This window comes from Homo sapiens, chromosome 19, assembly GCF_000001405.40.
Source record: "Homo sapiens chromosome 19, GRCh38.p14 Primary Assembly".
In the NCBI taxonomy this organism is placed as follows: Eukaryota; Metazoa; Chordata; class Mammalia; order Primates; family Hominidae; genus Homo; species Homo sapiens.
In genome coordinates, this window is record NC_000019.10 from 48,090,464 (window position 1) to 48,109,248 (window position 18,785).

The 18,785-nt window shown below is 47.8% G+C and overlaps 1 protein-coding gene across 8 annotated transcripts in view; it reads right to left on the reverse strand.

Moving 5' to 3' along the window:
• PLA2G4C (phospholipase A2 group IVC) overlaps window positions 1–18,785 on the reverse strand; it is a 62,972-nt gene that overhangs the window by 42,618 nt on the left and 1,569 nt on the right. For 6 of the 8 annotated variants that reach the window (XM_011527431.4, NM_003706.3, NM_001159323.2 and 3 more), the window contains exons 2-7: window positions 16,059–16,098; window positions 14,870–14,981; window positions 14,125–14,261; window positions 9,208–9,397; window positions 7,676–7,796; window positions 5,001–5,141 (exon numbers count right to left, since the gene is read on the reverse strand). In XM_011527431.4, coding sequence (XP_011525733.1) covers window positions 5,001–5,141; window positions 7,676–7,796; window positions 9,208–9,397; window positions 14,125–14,261; window positions 14,870–14,981; window positions 16,059–16,066 — 709 coding nt within the window. In that variant the 5' untranslated portion in view covers window positions 16,067–16,098. Of the gene's footprint in view, window positions 1–5,000; window positions 5,142–6,235; window positions 6,460–7,675; window positions 7,797–9,207; window positions 9,398–14,124; window positions 14,262–14,869; window positions 14,982–16,058; window positions 16,099–18,785 lie in introns of those variants that run through there. The other 2 variants (NM_001159322.2, XM_047439585.1) reach the window with 2 other exon arrangements.

Consider the following 18,785-nt stretch of genomic DNA (forward strand, 5'->3'; position numbering starts at 1 on the left):
CTGTCATGTTTGATATTCAAAGCACCAGCAGACTGGCATAAAGCACTGCAGGGATCTGCAGCAGGAAGAAAGATCTTTCTTCCATTCCATAAATATTTATGAAGCAATTAGTGGGCACCCGGCACTCTTCTGGCTGTTGGAATAGAGCAGTAAACAAGACAGATAAAGTCCTTGTCCTCACGAACCTTCTATGGGTGGAGCCAGCCGGGCACTGTAGACTGGCTACCCCAAGGCCATTTCAAGCTCCTGTCCATGCCAACCCTTCTCAGCACACAGGCAGGAAGGGCAAATATTTCCCAGCCTCCCTTGCAGCTAGGGGACGGTCAAGCTCTGGTCCATGCACACTGCTGGGGGGACTTCTGCAAAGTGCTTGTTCTCCTTCTCAGAAGGAGCAGGCCAGGTATGGTGGCATGCAACTCTAGTCTCAGCTACTTGGGAGGCTGAGGCAGGAAGATCACTTGAGGCCAGGAGTTCAAGACCTGTATTGGGCTATGACTGTGCTTTTGCACGGCAGCTTGAGTGACAGAGAGAGACCCTGACTTCAAAAAAAAAAAAAAAAGTTGCAGCTTCATTGGATGCAGCCGCCATCCCGTGGTGTGGAGGAGTTCAGCATGAGGGTGACTTAATATGCTAAGGATGGAGGAGCAGAAAATCTAGAATAAACCTGGGTCCTTCTGCTTAATGTTGCACAGCTAAACCAATGTCACCAGCCACCTAACTTTGTATTATTTATTTATTTTGAGATGGGATCTCGCTCTGTTGCCCAGGCTGGAGTGCAGTGGTGTGATCTCGGCTCACTGCAACCTCTGCCTCCCAGATTCAAGTGATTCTCCTGCTTCAGCCTCCCGACTAGCTGGGATTACAGGCATGCACCACCACGCCCTGCTAATTTTTGTATTTTTTAAGTAGAGACGGGGTTTCACCATGTTGGCCCGTCTGGTCTTGAACTCTTGACCTCAAGTGATCTGCCCGCCTCGGCCTCCCACAGTGCTGGGATTTCAGCTGTGAGTCACGGTGCTCAGTCTGTCTTTTTCTTTTGTAAGAAAATTAATCCCACATGTCCTCGGGGCACTGTGGTTGGTTAGTGACTTTTAGCCAAACACATTTGTATATGATACAGGGAGACATAAAAAATGAATAATCAGCCAGGCACGGTGGCTCACGCCTGTAATGCTAACACTTTGGGAGACTGAGGTGGGCGGATCAATTGAAGTCAGGAGTTTAAAGTCAGCCTGGCTAACATGGTGAAACCCTATCTCTACTAAAAAATACAAAAATTAGCCAGGCCTGGTGGTATGCACCTATAGTCCCAGCTACTTGGGAGGCTGAGGCAGGGGAATAACTTGAACCTGGGAGGTTGCAGTGAGCAGAGATCACACAACTGCACTCCAGCCTGGGAGACAGAGTGAGACTCCATCTCAAAAAAAAAAAAAAAAAAAAAAAAAATAGACACACCCATTAGGATGGCTGGTATCCAAAAAACCCCAGAAAACAATAAGTGTTGATGAGGACGTGGAGAAATTGGAAACCTGGGACACCATTGGGCAGAATATAAAATGGTACAGCCACTGTGGAAAATGGTATGGTCGTTCCTCAAAAAAAAAATTTTTTTTTTTTTTGAGATAGCCCAGGCTGGAGCGCAATGGCGCGATCTCCGCTCACTGCAGCTTCCGCCTCTCGAGATCAAGAGATTCTCCTGCCTCAGCCTCCTGAGTAACTGGAATTACAGGCATGCACCACCATGCCCGGCTAATTTTGTATTTTTTGTAGAGATGGGGTTTCACCATGTTGGTCAGGCTGGTCTCCAACTCCCAACCTCAGGTGATCCACCCGCCTCGGCCTCCCAAAGTGCTGGGATTACAGGCATTAGCCACCACACCTGGCCTCAAAATTTTAAAAGTAGAATTACCACATACATGATCCAGCAATTCTACCTCTGAGTATATACCCAAAAGAATTGAAAGCAGGGTCTCAAAGAGATATTCATAGACCCATGTGCATGGCAGGTTCCTTCACAACAGCCAAAAGGTGAAAGCAATCCATGTGTCCATCGATGGATGAATTGATAAGCAAAATGTGGTATATTCGTACAATGGAATATGATTCAGCCATAAAAAGAAAGGAAATTCAGACACATGGTACAACATGGATGAACTTCGAAGTCATTTTCCTCAGTGAAATCAGACAGACACAAAAAGACAAGCACTGCATGATTCCATTTACATGTCATACTCAGAGTAGTCAAAATCGTAGAGGCAGAAGGTAGCATTGTGGTTGTCAGGGGCTAAGGGAGGGGGTGACAGGGACTTAGTATTCAATGGGCGTAGAGTTCCAGTTTTACAAGATGAAAAGTGTTATGGAGATGGATGGCAGTGATGGTTGCACAACATTATGAATGTATTGTATTTATACCACTGTACTTGACACTTTAAAATGGTTAAAATGGCAAATTTTATGTTATGTTTATTTTATAATAATAAATAAAAAGCACCCTGGTGTGTGAGGGGAGGGATAAAATACACGTACAGAATCCCTTCAGTAGGTGATACATACATCTAAGGAAATAATAATGTTATAGGGAGTACCTGGGAGTGACAATTTCAAAATCTCTGATGCCCAAGACCAGATTTAGCAAAGAGATGGTGGGGATAGGAGACAGGAGCCAGGCTTGGCAATGTGAAGGACCCCGTCTGTCCAGACCAGAGAAAAGGGGAAGATCCCCTTCATCCTACCTTGTTCTCCTCCCCTGAGAACACCCCTCCATCTACCAGGTTGCAGAAGCTGGAACCTTTGATGTCATCTCTGATTCTCCTTACTCTCCACATCCAATCCAGGTGTAATTCTTCTTCATCCATCTCCAGGTTTCCAGAGTCCATCCACTTCCCTCCCATATCCATTCTGGTACCCAACCTTAAACTGCCATTATCTGTCACCAGGACCATTAGCTTCTCAACTGCTCCCAACTTCTAAGTTTACACACCCACCCCTAATCCATGCTCAGAGAGAGAGAGAGAGAGTGAGATGTTTTACCATATAAACTGAATCGGTCACCACCCTAATTAAACTGCCTCCCTGGCTCTCCTATCGCACTTGGAATCCAAACTAAACTTCATCTGTGTCCTTCAGGGTCCCATATGATCTGGACCCTGCCTACCTCTCTAGCCCTCTCTCTCAGCCTCATTCAGGAGGCTCCAGCCTCACTGGTCTTCTCATTGGTTCTAGAGTAAGACAAACTTGGTCCTGGCTTAGGGTCTGATATGGTTAAGCTTTATGTCCCCACCCAAATCTCTCGAGTTGTAATCCCCAGATGTTGAGGGAGAGACCTGGTGGGAGGTAATCAGATCATGGGGGCAGATCCCCCCATGCTGTACTCGTGATAGCGAGTGAGTTCTCACGAGATCTGATGGTTTGATAAGTGTTGGGCAGCTCTTCTTTGGCTTGCTCTTCTCTCTCCTGCTACCACTTGAAGAAGGTTCTTTCTTCCCTTTCACCTTCTGCCATGATTGTAAGTTTCCTGAGGCCTCCCCAGCCATGTGAAACTGTGAGTCAATTAAACCTCCTTTGTCTACAAATTACCCAGTCTCGGGTAGTATCTTTATAGTAGTATGAAAACGGACTAATACAGGGTCTCTGCATTTGCTCTTCCCTCTGTCCATGATGCTTTTCCTCTAAGATATCTGCATGGCTTCACTTTTCATCAGGTCCATGCTCAAAGGCCATCTCCTGTCAGAAGCTCTGACCACCAATTAAAAATAATACTGTAGTCACTCTCCAGTCCCTTACCATGAATTATTTTTCAAGATAGCATTTACTATGATCTGACATTATAATACATACTTATTTTTGTGTGTGTTCATTCATCATCTCCTTCCCTGGAGTGCAAACTTCATTAGGGAATGAGCCTTCACTGTCCTGCTCATGACTGAATCCCCTGCATTTAAAATAGTATCAGGCTCCTAGTGTGTCTCAAAAGTGTATGCTAAAATCATGGAGAGTCAACCATCCTTAATTTCCTACCATGTGCTGGACACTGGGCTGAGTGTTTTATTTGTGGATCATACCTAACTCTCACACCCACATTTTGAGGTAAGTACTTTCCCTATGAGAAAAACGAGGCTCAGGTAACATTAATGACTTTCTCAAGCTGGCATGGTTGGTCCTATGTAGGGGAGCTGTCTGCCCAGCAGGGTAATGCCTTCAGACCCTGAATGCTGAGAAGATTATGAAGCCACAACTAAAAGTGATACCAGTGTGTAAGCTACAGTCAAGGACATTTAATCAAGTTCTGATTTTACTCACTATGACTGTTTTGTTTTTGGTTTTTGTTGTAATTTTTTCTGGAAATACCCCATTTAAAAAAAATTGTATGCCCCTTGCTTTGCTGGTGCCCAAAACACATTCTAGTTTTTTGTTTGTTTGTTTGTTTGTTTGTTTGTTTTGAGACAAGATCTTTCTCTGTCATCCAGGCTGGAGTGCAGTGGGGCGATCATAACTCACTGCAGCCTTGAACTCCCATGCTGAAGTGATCCTTCCACTGCCTCAGCCTCCTGAGTAGCTGGGACCACAGGCACATGCCACAATGCCTGGCTAATTTTTAAATCTTGTGTAGAGACACAGTGTTGCTATGTTGCCGAGGTTGGTCTCAAACTCCCAGTCTCAAGGGATCCTCCCAGGTCAGCCTCCCAAAGCACCATGTAATCCCAAACACATTCTGAATCTGCTTATTGGAAGCCACAGCCCTGGACTTGAGCCCCTCTATTAAGCTCCCTCTCCTGGATTGTTTGATAGGATATCAGGTATCTGCCGCATTAAGGAGACCTTTGAGAGACACTGAAGACTCAGCAGAAGGAATACACCATTCCTCTTTCTGGAAGCCTACCAAGTCCTTTTCTTTCCCCCAAGAAATTTAAGAGCTGGGCAAACTAGACCCTCAGAAGGAAAATTCTTGCCTCTCCTCCACTTCCCACCCCCTTTTAATCCCCTCTGACCCCAGCGCTGACCTCTCAGGAAAGTCAGGTCTCTCTCAGGGTGAGTTCTGACCAGTCTTCCCTTCTTGAATTTGCTTCCGAAGTGGGTTATGGAAACAAAGGCCCCCAGTGCAGAGAAGCCAGCGTGGTGAGGGGTGAACTCGAACCAGGTCTCTGCAGAGGAAATACAACGGCAAGTGAGTCCCAGCACAGAACCAGGAATGTAGCAGGTATGCAGGAAAAAGAAATCTATTAATGAGGAATTACAACCATGACAGGAGAATGTTAGAGATGGACTGTGTGGTATCAGAAACCACTGGGGATCTCATCCTCAGACCTGAGTCTACGCTGCTGGTGGCAGCTCATAACTTCCACAGCAGCCTGTTTCCAATATTTTCCAGAGCTTGAACCCTCAGCCCTGCCTCTCTCTTCCATCTCATTGTGGCTGCAACTCCATGGAATCCTGGAGTGCAAGGGAAGAGTGTAGCCACACGATTGCATGGAGGATTGTCTGTGGGCATAAATCTAATGCATGATTCCAATGTGAGTCATTAGAATATTCCAGGGAAGAAAATGACATGATCAGATTTTCATCCTGGAAACTTCCATCAGGTAGCCAGGGAAGGAGGTGGACAGCTTGGGATGGGCGGGCCAGTGAGGAACTAATTACAAGAGTCTCCCAGGAGACTGGGAGACCTGGTCTGGGGATGATGTAGAAGAGCACAAAGGATGAAAATGAGGAGGGGGTGATTTCTAGGTCTGGGAATGACTGAATTTGTGGGGCTTATGGAAAGGACGGAGTCAGCTGTATCTGCTCTGGTGAGAAAACAGCACAAGGATCCACACCGAGGAGAGAGATAAAACATTCATGGCCGGGCGTGGTGGCTCACGTCTGTAATCCCAGCACTTTGGGAGGCGGAGGTGAGTGGATCACCTAAGGTCAGGAGTTCGAGACCAGCCTGATTAACATGGTGACACCCCATCCCTACTAAAAATACAAAAATTAGCCAGGCGTGGTGGTGCATGCCTATAATCCCAGCTACTTGGGAGGCTGAGGCAGGAGAATCACTTGAACCTGGGAGGCAGAGGTTGCAGTGAGCCGAGATCGTGCCATTACACTCCAGCCTGGGCAACAAGAGCAAAACTCTGTCTCAAACAAACAAACAGACAAACACCATTCACACTGGGGGCTTCTGAGCCTTGAGATGCCAGGAGACGCCCAACCACAGGTAACTGGTAACATTGCCTGATGTATCGTGAGAACTTACCAGGACACAGTTGCTGAACAAGTGAGTGCATTTTATGCTTAGGAAATAGGGTAAGGAGGTCTGGATCTCAGGAGAGAGATGAGCTCAAAAGAGAAACTGGAATGTCTGGAGAGCTGCCAGCATTTGGGTGATAATCGGACCTATGGAGAAGGAAGACATCTAAAAAGTGAGAGATGGCCGGGTGCGGTGGCTCATGCCTGTAATCCCAGCACTTTGGGAGGCCGAGGCGGGTGGATCACCTGAGGTCAGGAGTTCGAGACCAGCCTGACCAACAGGGAGAAACCACGTCTCTACTAAAAATACAAAATTCGCTGGGCGTGATGGCGCATGCCTGTAATCCCAGCTACTCGGGAGGCTGGGGCAGGAGAATCGCTTGAACCTGGGAGGCGGAGGTTGTGGTGAGCCGAGATCGTGCCATTGCACTCTAACCTGGGCAACAAGAGAGAAACTCCGTCTCAAAAAAAAAAAAAAAAGTGAGAGACAGCCCCACCCACCCACCCCGCCATCCTTCAAACATCCCTTATTACAGTTTTCTTTACTTTTTTCTTTTTTCTTTTTTTTTTTTTTTTTTTGAGACGGAGTCTTGCTCTGTCGCCCAGGCTGGAGTGCTGTGGCGCGATCTCAGCTCACTGCAACCTCCGCCTCCCGGGTTCACGCCATTCTCCTGCCTCAGCCTCCCGAGCAGCTGGGACTACAGGCGCCCGCCGCCACGCCCAGCTAATTTTTTGTATTTTTAGTAGAGACGGGGTTTCACTGTGTTAGTCAGGATGGTCTTGATCTCCTGACCTCGTGATCCACCCGCCTCGGCCTCCCAAAGTCCTGGGATTACAGGCGTGAGCCACTGCGCCCGGCCCCTTTTTGTCTTTTGTCCCTCCTCTCCTCTGTTTTCTTTTTTCTTTCTTCTTTTTGGGGGGACAGGGTCTCACTTTGTCACTCAGGCTGTAGTACAATGGTGCAATCACAGCTCACCGAAGCCTTGAATTCCTGGGCTCCAGTGATCCTCCTGCCCCAGTCTCCTGGGTAGATTCTTCAGGTTCCTGCCACCATGCTTGGCTAATTTATTGTGTTTTTTTGTTTTGTTTTGTTTTTTAATGTTGTTGTTTTGAGATGGGATCTCACTATGTTGCCCAGGGTGGTCTCCAACTTCTGGTTTCAGGCGATCCTCCCACCTCAGCCTCCCAAACCACTGGGATTACAAGCGTGAGCCACCATGTTGGCCTCTTAAAGGTTTTCTTGATCCATGCAAAGCAAGTGCATGTCCTCTGGTCACTTCTGGGACTTCCCTCTTCTCTCGTCTAAGCTGAGCACCCTGTTTTCTGCAATCCTGAGCCCTTCCCTCTTCCTGGGCTCCCCAAGGGGAGGGCAGGGAAACATTCTTCCATTCCACTCCGTGCTGTTCCATCCCTTACTACCTCTCCCTCCCTCTAAATGTTTGCTTACCTGGTGCTCTTGCCTCCTGCCAGGAAGGTTGCAGGTCATTGTCAATGGCTGCAAATATTGGGTAGGGTAGTGTCCCTTCTTCCACGGGCTTCTTCATATTGGACAAATGAGACTCCGGCAGCTTTGGGAGAAGGTGCCAAGACAGTGTGAGGGAGGCATGTGGGTCCCACAGGGTGGAACCTCTGCACGTAGGCCACATTTTTTTTTAGAGGGGTCTCAGTCTGTCACCCAGGCTGGAGTGCAGTGGTACAATAATGGGCCACTACAGCCTCAACCTCCTGGGCTCAAGCAATCCACCCACCTCAACCTCCCAAGTAGCTGGGACTACAGATGCATGTCACCATGCCCGGCTAATTTATTTTTTGATAGAGACAGGCTTTTGCTATGTTGCCCAGGCTGGTCTCGAACTCATGGCTTCAAGCAATCCTCCCGCCTCAGCCACCCAAAGTGCTTGGATAGGCTAGGTGCTGTGGCTCATACCCATAATCCCAGCACTTTGGGAGGCTGAGGTGGAAGGATCACTTGAGCCCAGGATTTGGAGACCACCCCGAGCAAAAAAGCGAAACCCTATCTCTAAAAAAAAAAAAAAAAAAAAAAAAAAAAAAAAAAAAAAATTTGTCAGGCCCAGTGGTGCGTGCCTGTAGTCCCAGCTACTTGGGAGGCTGAGCTGAGAGGATTGCTTGAGCCCAGGAGGTCAAGGCTGCAGTGAGCTGTGATTGCACCACTGCACTCCAGCCTGGACGACAGAGTGAAACCCTGTCTCAAGAATAAACAAAACAAACAAAAAACAACAAAAACCCGATGTGTTAGGATAGGCTGGATGCAGTGGCTCATACACGTAATCCCAGCACTTCGGGAGGCTGAGATAGGAGGATCACTTGAACCCAGTAGTTGGAGGATTGCTTGAGCTCAGGAGTTTGAGACCAGCCTGGGCAATATAGCAAGATCCCTGTCTCTACAAAAAAAAAAATAATTAAAAATTAGCCAGGCACGATGGTGCATGCCTGTTGCCCCAGCTTACTCAAAAGGCTGAGGCAAGAGGATTGCTTGAGCCCAGGAGGTCGAAGCTGCAGTGAGCCATGATCTCGCCACTGCACTCCAGCCTGGGTGACAGAGCAAGACCCTGTCTCAAAAATAAAATGAAATAAAATAAAATAGTGAATTCAAGACATCAAATGGCCAAGCAGAGATGGAGAGGAAAGTTGTCTTGGGTCTGACACTTTCCCTATTTCTGCCTTATTCCATCATAAGTCCTCATTGTTCTTCTTGCCCTGGATGTCTGTGTATCTTTCTAGTAAATCATATCACTTTATTTGTTGCATAAACGAATCAGAGTCAATTTCTGTCACTTGCAACCACAGTAATCCTGATATACTTTAGTTTTGAGGCATCAACCGAAGTGCCCAGATTTTGATGACTTGAAAATCCTGAAGGACTTAAAAGGTGGTGCTGGTCAGCATCTTTGGTAACCCCACACCCTGAGACCCCTTGCTCCTACCCCCACCCCAGGTCCCCAGCTGGGAATGACTTACTTCTCTGGTTTGCTTAGAGATAACCATGTAGGCCCAGAAGTCGGTCAGAGAGTAATTCTCAGACCTCGCTGCTTGGATGGTTTTCTGTAGGCTCTTAGCCAAGTCCCACTCCTGTCGGGTAAATCGATGTTTCAGGTCAGCCTCGAGAGCTTCCATGTCACCATCATTGGTGTAGAGAGAAGATATTGCCCTGGAGGACAGAGGAAGAGAGTGAGTTGGGCATTTTAAGTGTGGACGATGAAGACTGGGGAAAGATGTGTGCAAGGAGGTCCTTCACAGGAACACCTGCCTCATGGAGAGGGCGACACACAGAGGAAACGGAAAATTTCCATTAAATAAATACAACTGCAGAACGATCAAGTTCGAAGGAGGACTCAAAATCATCTGGGACAATCCTTCCATTTCACAGGCAGGAAAATGAGAGCACGATGGGAGAAAGGCCTCATCAGAGTCAAATGTTTTTTGCAGCCAGCACTTATTAAAAGGTTTATATGTGACAGCAACAAACTGTCTTTAGTCTTTTATACCTATTAACTCACATAATCCTAGAAAATCAATGAACGGGGCCAGGTGTGGTGGTTCATGCATGTAATCCCAGCACTTTGGGAGGACGAGGCGGGAGGATTGCCTGAGGTCAGGAGTTCGAGACCAGCCTGGCCAACATGGTGAAACCCCGTCTCCACTAAAAATACAGAAAAATTAGCCAGGCGTGGTGGCATGCGTGGTGGTGGGTACCTCTAGTGCCGGATACTCAGGAAACCCTGTCTCTACTAAAAACACAAAAATTAGCCAGGCATGGTGGCACACGCCTGTGGTCCCAGCTGCTCAGGAGGCTGAAGCAGAGGAATCGCTTGAACCCGGGAGGTGGAGGTTGCAGTGAGCTGAGATTGTGCCACTGCACTCCAGCCTGGGCGACAGAGCGTGACTCCATCTAAAAAAAAAAAAAAAAAAAAAAAAAGCTGGGCGTGGTGGCTTACGCCTGTGATCCTAGCACTTTGGGAGGCCAAGGTGTGCGGATCACGAGGTCAGGAGATCGAGACCATCCTGGCTAACATGGTGAAACCCCGTCTCTACTAAAAATACAAAAAATTAGCTGGGTGTGGTTGCAGACCCAGCTACTATAGTCCTAGCTACTCGAGAGGCTGAGGCAGGAGAATGGCGTGAACCCGGGAGGCTGAGCTTGCAGTGAGCCGAGATCGCGCCACTGCACTCCAGCCTGGGCAACAGAGCAAGACTCTATCTCAAAAAGAAAAAAAAAAAGAAAAAAAAGACTTTATATTCATTTGTTCACTCAATAAATATATATTATATATATTAATTTATAAAGAAAAGAGGTTTATTTAGCTCACAGTTCTGCAGGCTGTACAAGAAGCATGGTGCAAAAAGCTTCTACTCATGGCAGAAGGCAAGGGAGCTGGTGTGTCACATAGAGTCTATATATATATATATATATATATTTTTTTTTTTTTTTTTGAGACAGGTCTTGCTCTGTTGCCCAGACTAGAGTGCAGTGGCATGATCTTGGCTCACTGCAGTCTCAAACCCCCAGGCTCAAATGATCCTCCCACCTCAGCCTCCCAAGTAGCTGGGACCACTACCCACCAGGTGCATCACCATGCCCTGCTCATTTTTAAATTTATTTTCTGTAGAGATGGAGTCTCACTATGTTGCCCACGCTGGTCTCAAACTTGTGGCCTGAAGCAATCCTCCCACCTCAGCTTCCCAAAATGCTGGGATTATAGGTGTGAGCCACCGTGCCCGGGCTCAATAAAAATTTTTGATGTTCTTAATGCTGCTTATCGGGTGCTATCTACCCTCACACCATCCAATGTATTAAACATACATCATAGCTCTTGAGCCCCTGAAGTGTGGCTAGCATGATTTAAAATATTTATTTCATTTTAATTAGCTTAAATTTAAACACTGGTACTCCATTCAGTTATTGGGAAACTCTGAAGTATGTTTGGAACAAGCTGGGTATGAAAAGTTCTTTCCTTTAATATCTTTTTTTTTTTTTTTTTGAGATGGAGTTTCACTCTTGTCACCCAGGCTGAAGTACAGTGGTTCGAGCTCGGCTCACTGCAACCTCTGCCTCCCGGATTCAAGTGATTCTCCTTCCTCAGCCTCCCAAGTAGCTGGGATTACAGGTGCGTGCCACCACACCCAGCTAATTTTTGTATTTTTAGTAGAGACAGGGTTTCACCGTGTTGGCCAGGCTGGTCTCAAACTCCTGACCTCAGGTGATCCACCTGCCTCGGCCTCTTGAAGTGCTGGGATTACAGGTGTGAGCCACTGCCCCGGGCCTCCTTTAACATCTAATGAGACTTCTGCATCCAACTTGGAATGCGCTCAGTATAAAACGCCCAGCAGCTTTCAAAGACCTAGTCTGACAAAAGGAATGTCAAATATCTCATTAACAATTTTTTTCTTAACGATGTGTCAAAATGCTAATGTTTTGGATATATTGGGTTAAAGAAAATGGATCATTTCACTGTTTCTTTTTACCTTCTTGAAGAGGCTACTAGAAAATTTAAAATGGGCCGGACATGGTGGCTTACACCTGTAATTCCAGCACTTTGGGAAGCCAGGGCAGGCAGATCACCTGAGGTCAGAAGTTTGAGACCAGCCTGGCCAACACGGGGAAACTCCGTCTCTACTAAAAATACAAAAATTAGCTGGGCATGGTGGCACGCGTCTGTAATCCCAGCTAACTGGGAGGCTGAGGCAGGAGAATCACTTGAACCTGGGAAGTAGAGGTTGCAATGAGCCAAGATCGCGCCACTGCACTCCAGCCTGGGCGACAAGAGCAAGACTGTGTCTCCAGAAGAAAAAAAGAAAAGAAAAGAAAGAAAGAAAATTTAAAATGATAGAATAGATGTGGCTCATGTTACATAGCTCTACTTGATAGCTCAGGTTGGGACGATTTGCATGTGTTTCATCATTTAATTCTCAAACAGCCCTGTGAGATCAGCACAGTTTGTTGCTGTCACATGTAAACCTTTAATAAATGCTGGCTGCAAAAAACATTTGACTCTGATGAGGCCTTTCTCCCATCGTGCTCTCATTTTCCTGCCTGTGAAATGGAAGGACTGTCCCAGATGATTTTGAGTGCTCCTTTGAACTTGACCGTTCTGCAGTTATATTTATTTCATGTAAATTTTCCATTTCCTCTGTGTGTCGCCCTCTCCATGAGGCAGGCGTTCCTGTGAAGGACCTCCTCACACACATCCTTTCCCAGTCTTCATCGTCCACACTTACAATGCTCAACAGCGGAGGAAACCAAGGCACAAAGAAGTATGTCTGGGCTCGTAACAGCCCACAAAGGACAGCTCCAGGAACTAACCCAAAGCTGTTGAAATATAAGGCTTTCGTTGTTGTTGTTTGTAGAGATGGGGTCTTGCTATGTTGCCCAGGCTGGTCTTGAACTCCTGGGCTCAAGAGATCCTCCCACCTCGACCTCCCAAAGTACTGGGATTACAGGTGTGAGTCCCTGTGTCCAGCCAGGCCTGCCTTTTTAACCACAGCAGTCTCGGAAAGATTCCAGAAGAAATCATGGGGTTCCTATCTCAATAGCGCCCCCTGGAGTTCTGCAATGTGCAGTACAGCTAAACCCCCACGCCATGTCACTCAACATGTTAGATGAGCCTTGGAGGAATAGAGGGGTCCGGTGTGACTCTGCAGGACCTTTCCCACTCCCAAGCTCTGCAGCTCTGCTCTTCATGCTGTCGCCTCCAGGAACCTCATCCTCCACATCCAGCTCAGAACCCAGCTCCAGATCAAACTTTGAGCACAGAAATGAAAACAAATCAGGCCAGCCAGGCTCAACATTCATGCCTCTGCCCTGCCTATCTCACACTCGAGCCTCTGCTGCTCTGCCTAGCCTTACCTCCTGCTCTGAAAATGTGCCAAGATCGATTAGTCATGTCTGCCCTGGGCTTGGCAACAAACATGCAGACATGAGTGTTTCATACCTGCCATCTGGGGCCTCCTGAATGAGACAGTCCTACACGGATTAATGCAATACTTTATCATAGAGGCTGATAAGTTAAAAGGGCTGTATTCTATCCACCTGCAGTGTGAAAAGTGCACCTGAACATGTAAATCCTCCTTTAATGTCAGAAGGTAGTATTATTATGCTTTGTCCATGGCTTTGTGTAGCAAAGAAAGATACTTGGTGTTTTCCCCTGCTTCCTGGTGCAGAGTTCCTAAAACCCTTGGAATTTTCTTTTTTAGAAAAAAAAAATTTTTTTTTTGAGACAGGGTCTCTCTGTCACCCAGGCTGGTGTGCAGTGGTGTGATTGTAGCTCAATGCAGCCTCAGCCTCCCAGGCTAAAGCAATCCTCCTGCCTCAACTTCCTGAGTAGCTGGGACCATAGGCATGCACCACCACGCCTGGCTAATTTTTTCACTTTTTGTAGAGATGGGGTCTTGCTATGTTGCCCCGCCTGGGTCTCAAACTCCTAGACTCAAGCGATCTTCCTGCCTCAGCCTCCCAAAGTTCTGGGATTACAGGCGTGAGCCACCACACCTGGCCCATCTTTTGTAATACACCAGCAATTGTAAGTAAAGTGTGTTCCTGAGTTCTGTGAGCTATTCCAGTAAATTATTGAACATGAGGCGGAAGCTGTGGGAAACCCCAAACTATTGCCAGTCGGTCAGAAGCACCAGCGGCTAGGTAATTGCAACTCGTGTCTGAAGTGGGAGCAGTTTTTTGGGACTGAGCCCCTTTCACCTGTGGAATCTGATGTGAACTCCAGGTAGCCAGCGTCAGAATTGCTCAGAATTGTAGGACACCCAGCTAGTACCAGAGAGCTCGAGAAGCAGCGTTGGAAAAAACCACACACATTTGGTGTCAGGAGGAAAAAAATAATCCCATTTATGTGTCAGAAAGCAATCTGAAACATGAGTGATGCTTACCAAGTGGATCCAGAGACCCCTGCGAGGTACGTGACGGCATCCAACAGGCCCTGTTCTTTCATCTCACTCAGGACCCCAAGGCAGGCAATGTGAGCCCGCAGTCCTCCGCCTGAGCCCAGCACAGCAACAACTGGGGCCTAGGCATTGGGGAGAAAATCGATCAGAGGTTTAGAGCCTGAGGATGGAGGTGGGAACAAGAAGAAGGGTACCTGGGGCCGGGCACCGTGGCTCACGCCTGTAATCCCAGCACATTGGGAGGCCGAGGCAGGTGGATCACTTGAGGTCAGGAGTTCAAGACCAACCTGGTCAATGTGGTAAAACCCCATCTCTACTAAAAATACAAAAATTAGCTGGGTGTGGTGGCACACACCTGTAATCCCAGCTGCTCAGCAGGCTGATGCAGGGGAATAGCTTGAACCTGGGAGGTGGAGGTTGCAGTGAGCCAAGATCATGCCACTGCATTCCAGCCTGGGTGACAGAGCGAGACGTTGTCTCAAAAAAAAAAAAAAAAAAAAAAGAAAGAAAAGAAAAGAAAAAGAAAGGAGGAGGAGGAGAAGGAGGAGACCTAGGATCTCCCTTAGGCAGGGGCAATGCCTGTCCCATAGAAGTTCATATCCTTCTATTTCTATCCCATAGAAGTTCATATCCTTCGGTCCAGCTCTCCCTGGCTGAGTTGGGCCCTGGACACTGGGCACAGAGGGGGCGATTCTGGGATCTCTGGGGCCACCCTCCTCCCCTCACTTACCTCATCAGCCTCAATCCTTAGCTTCTTCAGAGCTTTCAGCACATGAAGTCTTCGTCTCTCCACGGCCGCCTTTTCTTCTTTCTGGAGCCCAGGAATTATGGAAACTTCAGAGCTTCCCAGGAGAAAACACAAAGAAGTCCAGAAAATTCACAGGGAAAAGGGATAAAACACAGAATTTGACCTAGAACTGGGCTGTCCAAGCAGGTAGCCACCAGCCCACGGGTACATGGTTTCCTTTTGGGGTGAGGAAAATATTCTGAAACTAGATAGAGGTGATGGTTGTACAACACTGTGAATGCATTGAATGCCAGTCAATTATTCACTTTTCAAAATGGTTAATTTTGGGGCCAGACGCGGTGGCTCACACCTGTAATCCCAGCACTTTGGGAGGGTGAGGTGGGTGGATCACTTGAGCCCAGGAGTTCAAGACCAGCCTGGCCAACATGGTGACATACCTCCCTCCCTCCCTCCCTCCCTCCCCTTCCCTCCCCTCCCTCCCTCCCTCCCTTCCTTCCATCCTTCCTTCCTTCCTCCTTCCTTCCTTCCCTCCTTCTTTCCCTCCCTCCCTCCCTCCCTCCCTCCCTCCCTCCCTCCCTCCCTCCCTCCCTCCCTCCCTTCTTTCTTTCTTTCTTTCTTTCTTTCTTTCTTTCTTTCTTTCTTTCTCTTTCTCTCTCTCTTTTTTGAGACAGAGTCTCGCTCTGTTGCCCAGGCTGGAGTGCAGTGGCGCAATCTCAGTTCACTGCAACCTCCACCTCCCCGGTTCAACAATAAGACAGGGTCTTGCTCTGTTGCCCACCACCAGTGCGGTGGTGCAATCATAGCTTACTGCAGCCTTGAACACCGGGACTCAAGTGATCCTCATGTCTCAGCCTCCTAAGTAGCTTGGACTACAGGTGTGTACCACTATGCTTGGCTAATTTTTAAAAATATTTTCTTTTATTGTAGAGATAGGGTTTCACCATGTTGCCCAGGCTAGTCTCGAACTCTGGGGCTCAAGAGATCTTCTTGCCTCGGCCACCAAAAGTGCTGGGGTTACAGGCATGGGCCACCATGCCCAACCTTCAGCTCTTTCCATCTATCTCCACCAAGCGAGAGGAACTGTCACAGCCCTCACCTCTTGACACTCACTATGCATTCCATTACACAAATGCTCTGCTTCCCCATAGTGGTCAGCTCTAAGAGGACTTACCTTCCCATGGTGCACTGCGGTCAGAAAATTCTCAGTCCTCCTGCCAAAGAAATGGCTCTTCTTAGTCCTGTGCCCACTGTTGGGCTTAGCAAAGACAGTGGGGGAGGGCTGGGACTGTCACGGGCTCATGGGTTCTCCTTGTCCACTGCCCAGACAAAACCAATGCGAACAGCAGGTGTTGCAGCAAAGAGAGAGAGTTTAATAATCTCAGGGGCGGCCAAGCGAGGAGAATGGGAGAAATATTTCAAGCGCGTCTCTCTGAAAATTTGGAGGCTAGGGTTTTTCCTCGCTCTTTCTCTTTCTCTGCCTCTGTCTCTGTCTCTGTCTGTCTCTCTCTCTTTAGATGAAGTTTCCCTCTTGTTGACCAGGCTGGAGTGCATTGGCATGATCTCGGCTCACTGCATCCTCCGCCTCCCGGGTTCAAGCGATTCTCCTGCCTCAGCCTCCTGAGTATCTGGGATTACAGGCATGCACCACCATGCCCGGCTAATTTTTGTATTTTTAGTAGAGATGGGGTTTCTCCATGTTGGCCAGGCTGGGCTTGAACTCCCGACCTCAGGTGATCCACCCGCCTTGGCCTCCCAAAGTGCTGGGATTACAGGCACGAGCCACCGCGTCCGACCTGAGACTAGGGTTTTTTAAGGAAACTTTGGTGGGCAAGGGGCTGAGGGAACAATTGATCGGCTATGGATGAAATCACAGGTGTGTCCAAAACTATCTTTGTATAGCTGAGTCAGTTCCTGGGAGCGGGTCTCAGGACCAGGTGGTAGCTCTTGGTCTGCCAAAATGCTCACTCTGAAAACTATCTCAAAGACAATTTCTTTTTTTTAAAACAAAAACAAAACGAAACATTATTGCCAGGAGCAGTGGCTCATGCCTGTAATCCCAGCACTTTGGGAGGCCGAGGCAGTCAGATCACTTGAGGTCAAGAGTGACCAGAAGACAAGTGTGAGCCCTCTGTCATGCCCGAATAGGGCCACTAGAGGGCCCCTTGGTCTTGGGGTAACGCCAGCGTCTGGGAAGATGCCCATTGCCTAGCGGACCTTGGTCTAGCGGTTGCGTCAGTGCCTAGAGACCAGGAAAGGGAGTCTCCCTTTCCCCGGGGGAGTTAGGGAAGACTCTGCTCCACCGCCTCCTGTGGAGGGCCTGAGTGATGTCAGGCCCGCCCGCAGTTATCCAGAGGCCTGACCATCTCCCTGTGATGCTGTGCTTCAGTGGTCACACTCCTGTTTCACTTTCCTGTTCCACTCTGTATACCTGGCTGCACCCTCTAGATAGCAGTAGCAGAATTAGTGAAAGTATTAAAATATTAAAGTCTTTGATCTTTCTGAAAAGAACATAAAAGAAATAATGACATAAGCTATCCTCTCTCTCTACGCCTTGGCTACCTAACATAGAAGGGCTCCCTGTCCAGTGGACACGTGACTCACATGACCTTATCAATCATTGGAGATGACTCACACTCCTTACTCTGCCCCTTATTATCCAATAAATAACAGCGCAGCCAGGCATTTGGGGCCACTATCGGTCTCTGCGTCTTGGTGGTAGTGGTCCCCCAGGCCCAGCTGTCTTTTCTTCTATCTCTTTGTCTTGTGTTTTTATTTCTACGATCTCTCGTCTCCGCACATGGGGAGAAAGACCCACAGACCCTGCAGGGCTGGTCCCTACAGTGGCGCAATCATAGCTCACTGCAGCCTCCAACTCTTGGGCTCAAGCAATCCTCCTGCCTTGGCCTCCTGGGTTGCTGGGACTACAGGCATGCACCACCACGTCTGGCAAAGTTTTAATTTTTTTGTAGAGATTGAGGTCTCACTATGTTGCCCAGGCTGGTCTCATTCTCCCGGGCTCATGCAATCCTCCTGCCTCAGCCTCCCAAGAAGTGGGGATTACAGGTGTTAGCTACCACACCCCACTAAAAAGCTGAGTTCTGTGTTTCACGACAGTGATATTATTTATAGAAGTAGCTGGGGAAGTTATAAATCATGCGACCCCTGGTTACGTGACTCTGGAGCACATATAGAAAAGGAAGCTAAGGGATGGCAGGTCATTCTTCAACCCACGACTGTTCTTTAGCAAAGTTCCAGCACCTTCATGATTCTAACCTTGTCTTATGAATGTGACTTCAGGCCAGGCACAGTGGCTCATGGCTGTAATCCCAGCACCTTAAGAGGCCGAGGTGGGAGGATCACTTGAGGTCAGGAGTTGGAGACCAGCCTGGCCAACATGGTGAAACCTTATCTCTACTAAAAGTACAAAAGTCACCTGGGCATGATGGCGGGCGCCTGTAATCCCAGCTACTCAGGAGGCTGAGGGAGGAGAATCACTTGAACTCAGGAGGTGGAGGTGCCAGTGAGCAGAGATCATGCCATTGCACTCCAGTCTGGGCAACAAGAGTGAAACTCTGTCTCAAAACTAAATAAATAAATAAAAAGTAAATGAATGTGGCTTCAATCTCTCAACAAGGACTGGGGGTCAGTTTTCTTTGTCTCAAAGTTTAACTATGAATTAAATTCCTCTCATGGTAATTTTGGCCTCTGCACTAGAATAAGAAAAAAAAATCTAGCCTGTGAGGTTAGAAACAAGATGGTCAGTCATGTTAGCTTTCTCTCATTACTTACATTTCTGCGAAGGCAGTTTCAAGACCCCCCTTATGAAATTAATCAGCTTCCCCCCACCACCTCCAAATTCATATGTTGGACTTGTAACCCCCAGAACCTCAGAATGTGA